Source organism: Homo sapiens, chromosome 4 (genome assembly GCF_000001405.40).
Source record: "Homo sapiens chromosome 4, GRCh38.p14 Primary Assembly".
NCBI lineage: Eukaryota > Metazoa > Chordata > Mammalia > Primates > Hominidae > Homo > Homo sapiens.
This window is the reverse complement of record NC_000004.12, coordinates 187,364,920-187,377,250: the sequence shown is the minus strand read 5'-3', so window position 1 is coordinate 187,377,250 and position 12,331 is coordinate 187,364,920. Positions and strand designations below refer to the sequence as shown.

The 12,331-nt window shown below is 39.7% G+C and overlaps 2 long non-coding RNA genes across 2 annotated transcripts in view, besides 1 other annotated feature; one reads left to right on the top strand and one right to left on the bottom strand.

The window, feature by feature from the left end:
* LOC339975 (uncharacterized) overlaps positions 1–12,331 on the top strand; it is a 201,531-nt gene that overhangs the window by 128,363 nt on the left and 60,837 nt on the right. The window lies entirely within an intron of this gene.
* Positions 380–580: a silencer, noted in NCBI's record as "peak5158 fragment used in MPRA reporter construct". NCBI's record gives its function as "represses an SCP1 promoter by STARR-seq MPRAs in K562 erythroleukemia cells {active_cell/tissue: K562}" and the evidence as "EXISTENCE:reporter gene assay evidence [ECO:0000049][PMID:32103011]".
* LINC02514 (long intergenic non-protein coding RNA 2514) lies at positions 5,330–6,603 on the bottom strand. The gene is made up of 3 exons (NR_149103.1): positions 6,476–6,603; positions 5,825–5,956; positions 5,330–5,567 (listed from the first exon to the last, which is right to left on the bottom strand). It is a non-coding gene; the product is annotated as a long intergenic non-protein coding RNA 2514 (long non-coding RNA).

The window sequence follows — 12,331 nt, the reverse complement described above, 5'->3', positions numbered from 1 at the left end:
TTGATCACAGTTAATTTCCTATCTGACAATTCCACAGTGTGTGTTATATCTGAGCCTAGTTCTTACATTTGCTTTGTCTTTTCAGGCTGTGTTTTTTTCCTGCCTTTTTAACATGTCATAAAATTTTTTGTGAAAAGCTGGACTTAATGTATTGGAGAATTGAAACTGAGGTAAGTAGACCTTCAGTGTGAAGTTTTGTTGTTCTGCCTAGGAATCCTGCTTATGTTTACTGTTTACTTTAGCTTCAGGTTCCAGAGGCTTCAAATATGTCTAATGTTTTTATTTTTGTCTCTCCTGATGTCTTTGGGCTTCTTTAGACCCTGCTTCCCTCCTTAACTGGAGTCTGCATCTTGCCTCTCTTTCAGTTACAGCCCACTGTTATTACTTGGAAGCCCTGCTGAGGTGGTGATAAGGTTCGGGACTACAGAAGCATTCTGTACTCTACAATTATATCTTAGTCTTGTTCCCTAATCTGTTCCCTGGTCTCTGACTTAAAAGTATTTCTTAGCTTTTTCGCCCAACCTTCCTTTAGAAGAGACAAGAAGGCTAGAGTAGCTGGAGTTGCTTAGTTGCCCTTTTCACAAGTCAGATAAGGCTATGGTCAAGTTTTCCTCTATGGAGTAGGTGTTGTTATACAGAACGCTTTGGACGTATTTCAAAATACATACTTTTCCTCTCCTCCTGTCAGAAACATGAAAGGATTTTTGTTTCGTTTTTACTTTAAGAACCTAGGTTGGGAAGAGAGAGGAGAGAGAGTTTTTTTGGAGGTCTAATCACAAAAGCGTGGCAGGGGCAGTGGGGTGTCCCTGAGACTATGAGTTCCGAGAGTTTTTCAGTCTCATGCAGTCCACACTCAGCCTCCAGCAATTTGCCCGGTCACTTCTCAATGTGCATGCCAGGCATGGCTTCAGGGGCTTCCACTCCGGGTAAACTGATCTTGACTATGATTTTCTGTATTTACCTGTCTTCTAGATTTCGGGGTGGAGTTTCGCCATGCAACCTCAATTTTATGATGGGTCAAAGAAGTCATTTATTTTCAGTTAATTCTGTGTTTTATTGTTGTAAGAACAGGAATAATGACTTCCAGGTTATTTACATGTCTGAGATGAAACTGGAAACCCCAACATCTTTATCTTCTTATCTGGACCTGTTTACCTTTTCTTCTGAGCCATAGATTTCTATATAGTGAGGCTATGAAAGGCACAAGTAAGAAGGGGAAAGCTAAACTAAGAGTAGATCTTTACTGAACCTGTTTTTTACTCTTTTCTGCGATTTTGTTGAATATTCTCTACCATGAATTACTCTATTCCCCTGGTGATAATTCATCTTCAACTTGAATACTTATTTAGTGTAAAGTCTTGGATGTTCCTTCTTAATTCTGTTGATATCCTCAGTACCACCTGTCAAAGAGTGGAGACTAGGTTACGAGATTCCCAGAGCTAAGCCTCAATCTTCTACTTCTTTCCTTGCCTTTTTAAAAAATTATTATTATTTTCTCCTCTCATTCCCCTGCCCTTCTGAAATTTATGGCAAGGAATTGTTTCATTTTGTTTATTTAATTACTGGTAGTGGGGTTTATTTTTTTCACTGAGTTTAAAAAATTTTGTCAATTTTCTATTGCAGTTGGAAGATTCTGTGCCTGTTGTCAAGGTGACACTCCCCGGAATTTTAAAGAGAAGTTTTAAAGTAGGATGCTTTGGCTAGTATTTGCAGAAACATATACACTTTTTTTACATGATAAGGAAAACAACAGATATTTATTCTTCATCCCAGGGGGAAAAAAACCCTTGGAGGAATAATTCAGAGGCAACATCCTTAACGGGTGATCAGTAGACACAAGACTCATCCCAGTGAGCCACTGGTTCTGGCAGCTGTGTGACTTTGGACAGAGATATCTACAATCTTTCAATATTGTTTGTGCACCAACTGCATTCTCCACGTTGTATTACTGCAGATTTATTGATGAGTAAAACAAATTCCTACCCTCAAGGAGTTTGCAAGCAAAAGAGTGAAATGAAGATGAAAGTGCAATGCTCCACTGTCTTTTCGTGTGCTCAGAGATTACTTTCTTAATCTTTAAAATGAAAGGCTTTTGCCTAAATGACTGAGTGATGTTGCACCTATAACCCTAATATTCTTTGATTCCCAAGGACAAGAATCAGAACTAACAAGGTATATAATGACAAAAGAATTTTCATTATGAGGAACTTATCAAGAAATCATAGAGTGGAGAGACTTGCACTAAAAACACTTAAAATGAATGGGAAGCCCGTCAGCATATTGTATGTCCATATTTTCCAAAAAGAGTTAAGTTTGTAAGCTACTGCATAGGACCATGGGAATTCTGGATGTCCTTGGACTGTATCACATGTGGTTTCTTGGCATCTTAGATGATGCAATTTTTTATTGCTTTGTCCGTGCAATAAACGCTGATAAATTTTTCGGTTTAAAATTTACCAAGTCTGCTACTGTATCCCAGAATTCTCAATGAAAGAAAATATTTACAGTTTTTAACATTACAGGTAGAAAAAGGATCAAAGTGATTTTCTTAAATTTCCTTCTAATTCATGGAAAAAAGAACACAGTCAGTGAGGGTCTTTGCTCCTGTTCCCCAATTTTCTTTGTCCAAATGGCTCAGCCTTGAATTCAAGAGGAGTGGTGCAGGATTTAATTGCTCCCACTTGTCTTCCTTGTGCAAAACTGCAGCTAGAAGAGCAAATGATAAGTTGAGAATATTTAACACTCAGCAACAATACCAGGAACTTGTTCAAACTTTGTTTTTGAAGCTTCTTGACCTTCCAATGATTTATTTCTTCCACACATGGTTTCATTAGAACTTCACTTGGAGAAGAAGAGAAATAGCAAATAACAGCATCTTTCATCTATAACCAGAATATTCCAAGCCTTTCAAAAGTTGTTGCAAAAAGAATAAAGTATGAGCTACCTAGGCCTTGTTTGTCTGAGTCTTGCATCCTGCTCATAAAAGTAACACAAAATTTTTTCAACAAGGACTAAGAATGAGCTTATTATTTTTTAACATACATACAATTTATTCATGATAATATTGCTAGTAGAAGCCTGGAAATAACTGAGATGCCAATAAACAGGAAAATTACTAATTATATCTATACAATGAAATCTATGCAACTGATTTAAAATTAAGGATGCACCCTCTTATTTTTAGTGTGTATGTATAAATGGATACGTGGTATGTTGTCAAAGAAGGTTTAGAAGTTCAATTTAAATAATACTGAAGATACCTGCTATTGTATAAGCAATGAAAATGCTATACAGATGTTCTGAAATAAAACAAACACACCCATACTCTGACCACTGAACTTTGGACCAGTATTGCTCTTCATTAGTATCCTAAAATGTATGGACATTTTATGGGTCATTGTTCCAAACCTGTCTTTGGAGCTATTTGGAGTAGCACAGAACCAACCTGTCTTTAGAGCTTCCTTGAGCAGCACAGAAAAGGGACTTTCAGAGCTTCAGGAGACAGTATTTCATCCAAGTGCAGCTTCTGGAAGTGAAATGTATTTAGAAGGTTTGCTCTGCTATTGTAATTTCCCAAGTAGGCCCATGTGACTCTGCAAACCCTAGGCCTGAGCCAGATTTGTTTGAAATGTCAGCCAAACTACCAGCACCTTACATCATGATATGGTCTGACTCTGTGTTCCCATCCAAATCTCATATCAAATTGTAATTCCCAGTGTTGCAGGAGGGGCCCAGTGGGAGGTGATCGAATCATGGGGGTGGACCTCCCCCTTGCTGTTCTTGTGATAGAATTTTCCTTATATCTGCTTGTTTAAAAGTGTGTTTAAAGGCACCTTCCCCACACTTCCTGCCAGCCATATGAAGATGGGCTTGCTTCCCTTTCAACTTCTGCCATGATTGTAAGTTTCCTGAGGCCTACCCAGAAACAGAAGCCTGTACAGCCTGCAGAACTATGAGCTGATTAAACCTCTTTTCTTTATAAATTACCCAGTCTCCAGTATGTCTTTATAGCAATGTTGAGAACAGACTAACTCCATGAGCATCTCAAATGTCATCATCACAGGTAATATCTATTGAGCTCTCACTTCAGTGATTTCTAATAATGACTCCATGAGACAGGTGCTGTTATTGTCCTGTTTTTACAGGTGATATTTGCATAAAGTTGGTGACTTATTCTGGAGTCTCCAGCCAGAACTGAAATGTTAGGCAGTCTGACTTTAGAGACCTTGCTATTCTTCACTCTCTTTTAGGCTCCCTCCAAGGCTCAGTTTCAGCCCAGGATGCAACACATACTATGCAAAGATATAATAACTGGTTTAAAGAAAGCTAGATTCATATTGGCCCAGATCCTAGCCCCAGCACAATGTAGCAATATGGCAAATTGGCCCAGGAGTCTAGTTTGGAAATGCCTCTCAAACTAGGTAGGATTATCTGGCTTACGCTGAACGATTTTATGCGGGGCTACTTTGAAATGTTCCACTAAAGCATTATTAAATGACGCCACACAGTCATATACTCTGGGCACCAAACAGCAATAGATACAGCTACCTGCAAACATCCCCAAAGGCTTCAGGTTTACTTTTCCTGCCTCCTACCCACTAGCCAAATAAGTAATTCACTGCTTTTCACAACAGGCTCCTGCTCTTCTTGGCTCTCTACTGAGACTCATACCTATGCCTGTGTAAATGTTAGCCATCCTTCATGGCTCCAAAGCTAAGGAAGCTTTCTCAGTTTCCCTAGGTGAAGTGACAGTACCTTCTATATATTAATTGTGACATTTGTCATTCATCATCCTCCTCATCTTAAGATCCATTTTATTCCTCGCTTATTTTTCTTAGCCATAAGAGCATGTTTTTTGTTTGTTTGTTTTACCAAATTTGGTCTTTTGTACCAAACAATGTCTTGCTCATAGTGTGAATTCAGTAAACATTTTTAAAATAAATAAATAAATAAGTAAAGAGTAAATGGATTGTGTTAGGGACCCATGACACAGGGCAATATAGGTTTAGCATTCCTAATCCAAAAATCTGAAATGTGAAGTGCTCCAAGATATGAAATTTTTGAGCACCAACATGATAACACAAGTGGACAATTCCACACCTGATTTCACATGACGGATCACAGTCAACATACAGTCAAAACTTTGTTTTATGCACAATATTATTTAAAATATTTTATAAAATTACTTTGAGGCTATATGTATAGGATACATATGAAACAGTAATGAATTTTGCGTTTAGACTTGGGTCCCATCCCTAAGAGTTCTCATTATGTCTATGCAAATATTCCAAAATCTGAAAAAATTCAAAACACTCCCGGTTCCAAGCATTTTGGTTAAGAGACACTTAATGCGTATCAGCAAATTTTCAGAGAGAGGTTAATGGGAGGAAATATTCATAAAGCAATTGAATAATTCGGCATTGCCTCTGTAGAGCAATGCAGTTCCCTGGAAAACACGAGGCTTATCTTCATGCAGCTTTGCCAGATGGATGTGAAACTCCTCCAGCTGATCCTTGTGGAAACCCATCCATCTCATGTCACTTAAGTGGGGATATATGGAAACGTGACTAATAAGACAAAAGGAAAACAAAGTTGCATTCAGTATTTGGGATAAAATAGCTTTCTTCCTGTATAGATGTGTTTTTGTCATTGCAAAGGAATCTAACACTGACAAATAAGATTCTTCCACCTGCCTCACTTTCTATTCCAATAGATAGTTGGCAGACTCTCTTTCCTATGAAAGGCATGGGTAAATGCTACTTAGGTAGCAGGTGTTGGAATAATTTACCTAACTATGATTTAAGGAGTATCACAATATTCCTACCCATTCCTTGGGTTCCTTCATGTGGGAGATGCAGACTGGGCTATGTTTGGGACATTGGTCTCTGGGTTTCATTCATCACACTCCAGTATTTCAATCTCAGCTTCCTTTTCTGTACACTTCAACATTATGTAGCTGTAGATGAAAGATCTTTTGACATCATGAAAAGGTATGTATAGAAGATAATATAGACATGCATATGCACAATAGGGCTTGTCTCCTTCTCACCCCACCCACAACATGTGCTTCCTGATGTTCAGGTAACTGAAAGGTCAAACACTGTGTCACTGACTGTGTATTAGCTTTTTATAGCAAGAGGGGAAAAGTGATGAGTGTGAATGTCATCAAGGTGGTGTTGGGTAAGCTCACTGCAACAATCCTGCTGTACTGAAAGAATTCTGCTTTAGGGAGGCCTCTGGGTTCACTTCTGCTCAGATGGTGCTGAACTCCCACCAACTTTACTTCTGCTTTTCCAGGCTGACCATTCCCCTCCAGCTGACACATTATTTCAATGAACAGTGTTGACACTATTTCCACACCCCAGTTCCCGTGGACCTGGGAGATACCCTGTGTCTTCCCCTGATGAACTACTTTAAATAACCTCACCCTCACAGGCAAGAACACCAGCTTCTGCATACTGTGGAGTTCACCCACCCTAGATTGTCCAATTTCCTCCTGCTCTTTTGCCTCTTCAGGTAATGGAATCACACTCTTATTCTGAATTTCAACTCTTTTCCTCCCTTCCTTCATACATTTCTCTAGAGCTGAAGTGAATCATTATTCTTTGTTTGCAAAGAAGCTTCCTTTTCCTTTATGGAGAGGTCTCAGAATCTCCTGCCTTTCATAAACTTTCCTGATTAAATAAAAGAGCGATTTCTCTTTTCTTCCTTGTCCTAGAAACCGATTTCCATATTATAAATAAGCACTCAGGTTAGAAATATATATGCAAAACTTCTATTCTAATTTATGCCTTTTCTATGACATCCATATTTCTATATTGACAGATAAGAAATATTAGAAGATTTCAAATATACAATTTTTTTGCATAGCATTGTTAATGGTATTTCTGCTGTATTATTTATGTTGGTTCACTCAGTCTCCCTTGCATCTTTTCTCTCTTTGGGAAGATTGGAAAGTTCAGTTACACTTCCTAGATTCTTTTGATGCTAGAATTCTGTATTGATGAACTCATGAGATATTTGGAATGCAGGAGTGAGCAGAGTCCGTCTCTGTGAAAGTTTTGGAGGGTGCCGTTTATAAGAAAGTCCATGGAAATATGATGTTCCTCCAGCAGCCAGCCAGCGTCTGTTACATAGGCTCCTGAATATTGACAGGTGGTGGTGGCAGAGATGCCAGTTTTAACCCCTTATTTCCAGCATAGTTCCAGTGTGGTGGCCTCAGAGAGAATAGCTCTATTACTCCAGTCTGTGTTGTTTGAAGTGTAATGCGATTCCAAGAGGCTAATCTCAGACCTACTCCTTAGACCTTCTACAGATCCTGAAAATATTTTACTTTGTGTGTTACATGTCTTTCCACTTAAAATGACTGGAATTGTTTGTGATTCTTGTAGAAAACCCTGACTGGGCCAGGTGCGGTGGCTCACGCCTGTAATCCCAGCACTTTGGGAGGCCAAGGCGGGCGGATCACAAGGTCAGGAGATCGAGACCATCCTGGCCAACATGGTGAAACCCCATCTCTACTAAAACTACAAAAATTAGCTGGGCGTGGTGGCGCGCACCTGTAGTCCCAGCTACTCGGGAGGCTGAGGCAGGAGAATCACTTAATCCTGGGAGGCATAGATTGCAGTGAGCTGAGATGCTACTATTGCACTGCAGCCTGGGTGATGAGCAAGACTCTGAAAAAAAAAAAAATCTGACTGATACACTTCCCCATTGCTTATACAGAAAATTGGCCTTCCAGGGACCTCCATCACCAGTCTCTGTATATGGATTCCGTCAGCCCGGCAGTCTTATCTCGCAGTCCTCTTGCCAACAGTTTGCTCTTATTACACTGTCTAGAATCTATCAAGGTCTTCCGTATTTCTGTGCTTCGGACAGGCCATTTACTCCTAAAAAGTGTCCCACCCCCTTTTCCTTACCCTCTCCCTGCCCTCCCTGACTCCTTTTCTTCTATGTCCAACTAAAATGTCTGCTTTGGTGACCGTAAGTAGTTAAGGCAAAGCTAACGAGTTCTACTGTGTCTGGTAGAGAATTCTGTAATTGAACTCATCACACCCTGTTGCCGGCGTGCATTCAGATTTCTTTTATTTATTTTTATTTATTTTGCATTCAGATTTCTATCTCCTCTTCTGTACTGCTAGTTTCTTACGCTCAGGCACGTTATGCACGGTTTGCTCTCAAACATCTAAGAAATTAATGATGACTACTTAATAAAATTTTAAATAAGTACATTGAAATTATTTATGGCTTCTTATTTTCTTTATATTATTTCTGTTTCTTTTATATTTGATATACTTTGAAGCTACCTGTAAAAATAGTGGCCTCTTGGATGGAAAGGTTGTCTAGCAATGAATCAAGTAAAGCATTAAAACTTTCCACCCTCATAAACAAGATTTACCCATGTTGGGTTGGCTGTTCTCTTGCTGACCCACCCCACTTAAAGCCTATACATTTGAGTATGGCCTGAACAAATTCTTGGAGGAAAGAAATTGAATCTGTTTAGCTTGTTTGATATAGATACTGTGCATGGAGGTGAAAAGTATAGCTGGAGGATAATAATTTAAAAATTCATGCTAAGCGAGACTTTCTTATCAGGGGCTTTTCCATTCTGGGTTTGAACAGGGAAGTGGCCATATTTACAGCTTTGTGTGTATCAAGAACAGGGAGTCAAAACTGTCTCCCACTAAGGAGGGCCCAATTACAGCAGAGGGCTGTTATACTGCTTCTGAAAACTGGTATTTCTTTTTATTGGTATTAATATTGAAATATGGCATGGTAATTCTATTACAGGACTTCTGTTAATACTGAAATGTGCAGCTACACTTCTGTATAAAATTTTACTTTCTACTAACTTTCTTGTGCTCTCTGATCATTTTTCTTTAAAACAGCAAGTATGCATTTGTGGGAATGCTAAAGCAAGGAATGTATAAAAGTTTATTTGTCTTTGCTTAATATAATTTGAGAGAATTTAGTTTTTCTGGCAGTATGTGCTTTTAACTTTTTCTAAAAAATATGAACTTGTTGACTATTTCTTTTCATGAGGAGACATGTTTTTCCAAAGAAACATTAAGATGACTTTTTAAAACTGAAAATTGTAACCACCATTTCATGCTTTTATGTTTTCTTTATATTACACCCAAAGTCAAAAGTCAGTAATGAATGCAAAATATTTATTAGGAATGAAGGTATAAATAGGGCCATAATAGAATACGGACAGGTTTTATATTGTTTTCATAAGCAATTCTAAGCTCCATAAAGAAATATATATTCCCTTCAGAAGAAATGCACACCAAGTGTGTTTTCGTAAATGTGTTATTTTCACAGAAAGAACATTCCAAGCTGCTTTTACAAACCAGAAATCTTTGCATCTTTGAGAATGAAAGTTGAAATGTGCCTAGTTACTGGACGGTGTGCGAGGTATTAGCATCAACGTGTACCGTGAATTTTGGAGCATTTATGTCAACTAAATGCTAACTTTAAGCTCCATATGAGAGACAAGTTATATTCTATGGCCTGAAGATTAACTGAATTGAAAATACAGATTTCTTTATATTTAAACATTTCAGTGGTTCATCCTTTTGTGGCCACTCTGAAGAAGTACAAGAGACTCCCCACACAAAATTTGATTGAGAGGTCAAGACTGGTGATTCCACACATACACCAAGAGAACAGGAAAAGCTTTATTTCTCACATAATGAGAGCTTTTGGGGAGATCAGGGAGCAATTCCCAGGCAGATCCAAAAATGTCTTGAACGAGCCAGGAAAGGAGACTGGTGTGGTGGCTTGAAGGTGGGGCTGGGGTGAGGGTTCCCTGGTGGGGCAGAGCCTTCCTGTGGGTGCCAAAAGACAGCAGCCCACACATTCTCATCAGCTTGCGCAGATGTGAGCAAAGAGGAGGAGGGAGAGGTCAGGCTTCAAAACTGTCGGCAATCAGGTATCAAAAATTAAGTAAAGCTCTAATATGATCAGCCTTGGAATTTTCTCCACTGATAATTATCGAGCTCCTTAGCTCAATAATTATGACAGTTGGTAGCACACAAAGCGCTCACTGGTGCAGGCCAGCCTGACGAGCTGAGCAGAATGATACATCCCGTGATGTGCCACGCTGGGTCCGCAGTCTCCGCCACCGTGTACTAGCCCTATCACCAAGCCACTTGGCCTGTGCACGGTGTTGCTGTTGTTTTCTTTTTGCAGGGCTGTGATGAGGAATGGGTGGGAGTAAAGGAAAGCACAATGTCTGGGTCACAGCAGATGCACAATTCACAGGAGCTATGATTACATTTTGCTTGAGATTTTCTGAAATGTGAAATCCTGCAGCACTATGGCTAATGTGGATGCCCTAGTGACAGAGCAAATAAAAATAAAATGTACTCTTTGCCAAAGCTGGACATGAGTTAACGTTAGGCTCCTACCCTCACACAGAGGCTGGGAAGCAGGGGCTCCAGCTTCAGGTGTGGGCTGGAACAAACAGTAAATTCTTTTGGCAGCCTTGAGTTTGCTCAGGCAGGCACTTATGGGGGACTGGGGTCACCTGAGGGTTGCGGCCTTCAGCTGTGGGAAACTGTGCTAGTGTTTGTTCAAGTCTTGATAGGCCAAGGTCGGGCCCTAGTGGAGAAGAGAGCTCAGAGGAGGCTGGCTGGATTTCAGTCAAGGAGAGAATCTCTGCCATCCTAAAATGGAATATTAAATAAATGGGTCTTGGAAATTTTATACTAAATTTAAAATTTACTAATTTTTTTTACTAACATAAATGTGAAAAATCTTAGTCCTGTTTAGAGGTAAAAGTCTCAGTACACGAAGTTATTCACATCAATATGAGGTTAACAAAATAAATTTTCCTTTGTATGGGGGAGTTAGAAAAGTATTTTTAAAAAACCCAAACCTTCATTTTCAAGTAATTATAGATTCACAGGAAGTTGCAAAGAAATGTCTAGGAGGTCCTGTGTACCCTTCACCCAGTATCCCCCAATGGTAACAGCTTATGTAATTATGGCACAATATCAAAACCAGGAAATTGACATTGGTACAACCTTCAGAGCCCATTCTGATTTTGTGAGTTTTATTTTCATGTAGAAAAGTTAGTACAGTAAAATGCTGCATCTAAATGCAGAAAAGAGAGAGCCGTTAGTCTTTATTTTTCCATGTCAAGTTTGGGCATGTACCCACGACTTGATACATACTATTTCTGGTACCTTTAATTCTGTCATCATTTTACCCTAGGATCAACCCTTTTCCCCATCCTTTTGTCTTGTTTTACTTTAATTTTTATTTTGACATAATTTCAGAATCACATAAAAGTTGCAAGAATTATACAAGAAATTCCCACACATATCATTTACCCAGATTCCTCAAATATTTGCATTTTGCCACATTTGCTCTATCCACACTTCTTCCTCTTTATCCATCTGCACACACACACACAGTGATGTTGTGGTACAATACAAAATAAATATTTGGTCTCTGTCCTCTGTTTTCTGGCACAGAGATCCTAAAACCCTTTGATTTTTTTGAGCCATGGGGGTGGTAGGTGCATTTTGTTTTCTAATCATTGTTCTTTGACCCAGGTTTCTGATGCAGAGTTTCTCATCCCTTGCAATTTCCTGAGTAACAGGAGCACTTTTATTTGAATGCAACAAATCTTGGGGGGTTTCTGGGGGTGAGGTGCACTGGCCCCTAGAAAGAACAAGCCAGAATTAGAAGTTTAGAACTTTAAGCCCCATCACCCATCCTCCAGGAAGTGGGGAGAGGGGCTGGAGATGGCGTTGATGACCCATCACTCCTATGTGATGAAGCCTTAATAAAAACCCCTGCACTGTGGGGTTGGGATTCAGCTTCTGGATTGCTGAACACGCGGAGGTGCCTGGAGGTTGCTGCACCCGGAGACACATGGAAGCTCTGCCCCTTCCCACGTCTTGTCCTGTGCATCTCTTCCGTCTGGCTGTTCATCTGTATCCTTCATAATAAGTAGGTAAATATAAGTTAAATATTTTCCTGAGTTCTATGAGCTGTTCTCACAAACTATTAAACCTGAGGAGAGGGTCCAGAAAACCCTGTGGATAGCTGGGCAGTCAGAAGCACAGGTCACAAGGTCGCCACGTGGGACTTGCGATGGGCTGCTGAAGTGAGGGCATCTTACAAGACTGGGCTCTTCCCCTGTGGGTTCTGCACTGACTCCGGCGAGTGTCAGGATCCAGATAACTTGCAGGACACCCAGTTGGTGTCTGCTGGACAATGAGTTGTTGGCTTGGAGAAATCCACCACACTTTGGTCACAGAACGTTCTGTTGTGTTGACTGTGCAAGGGAAGAAGAAGTGTTGGTTTTTCTGATACA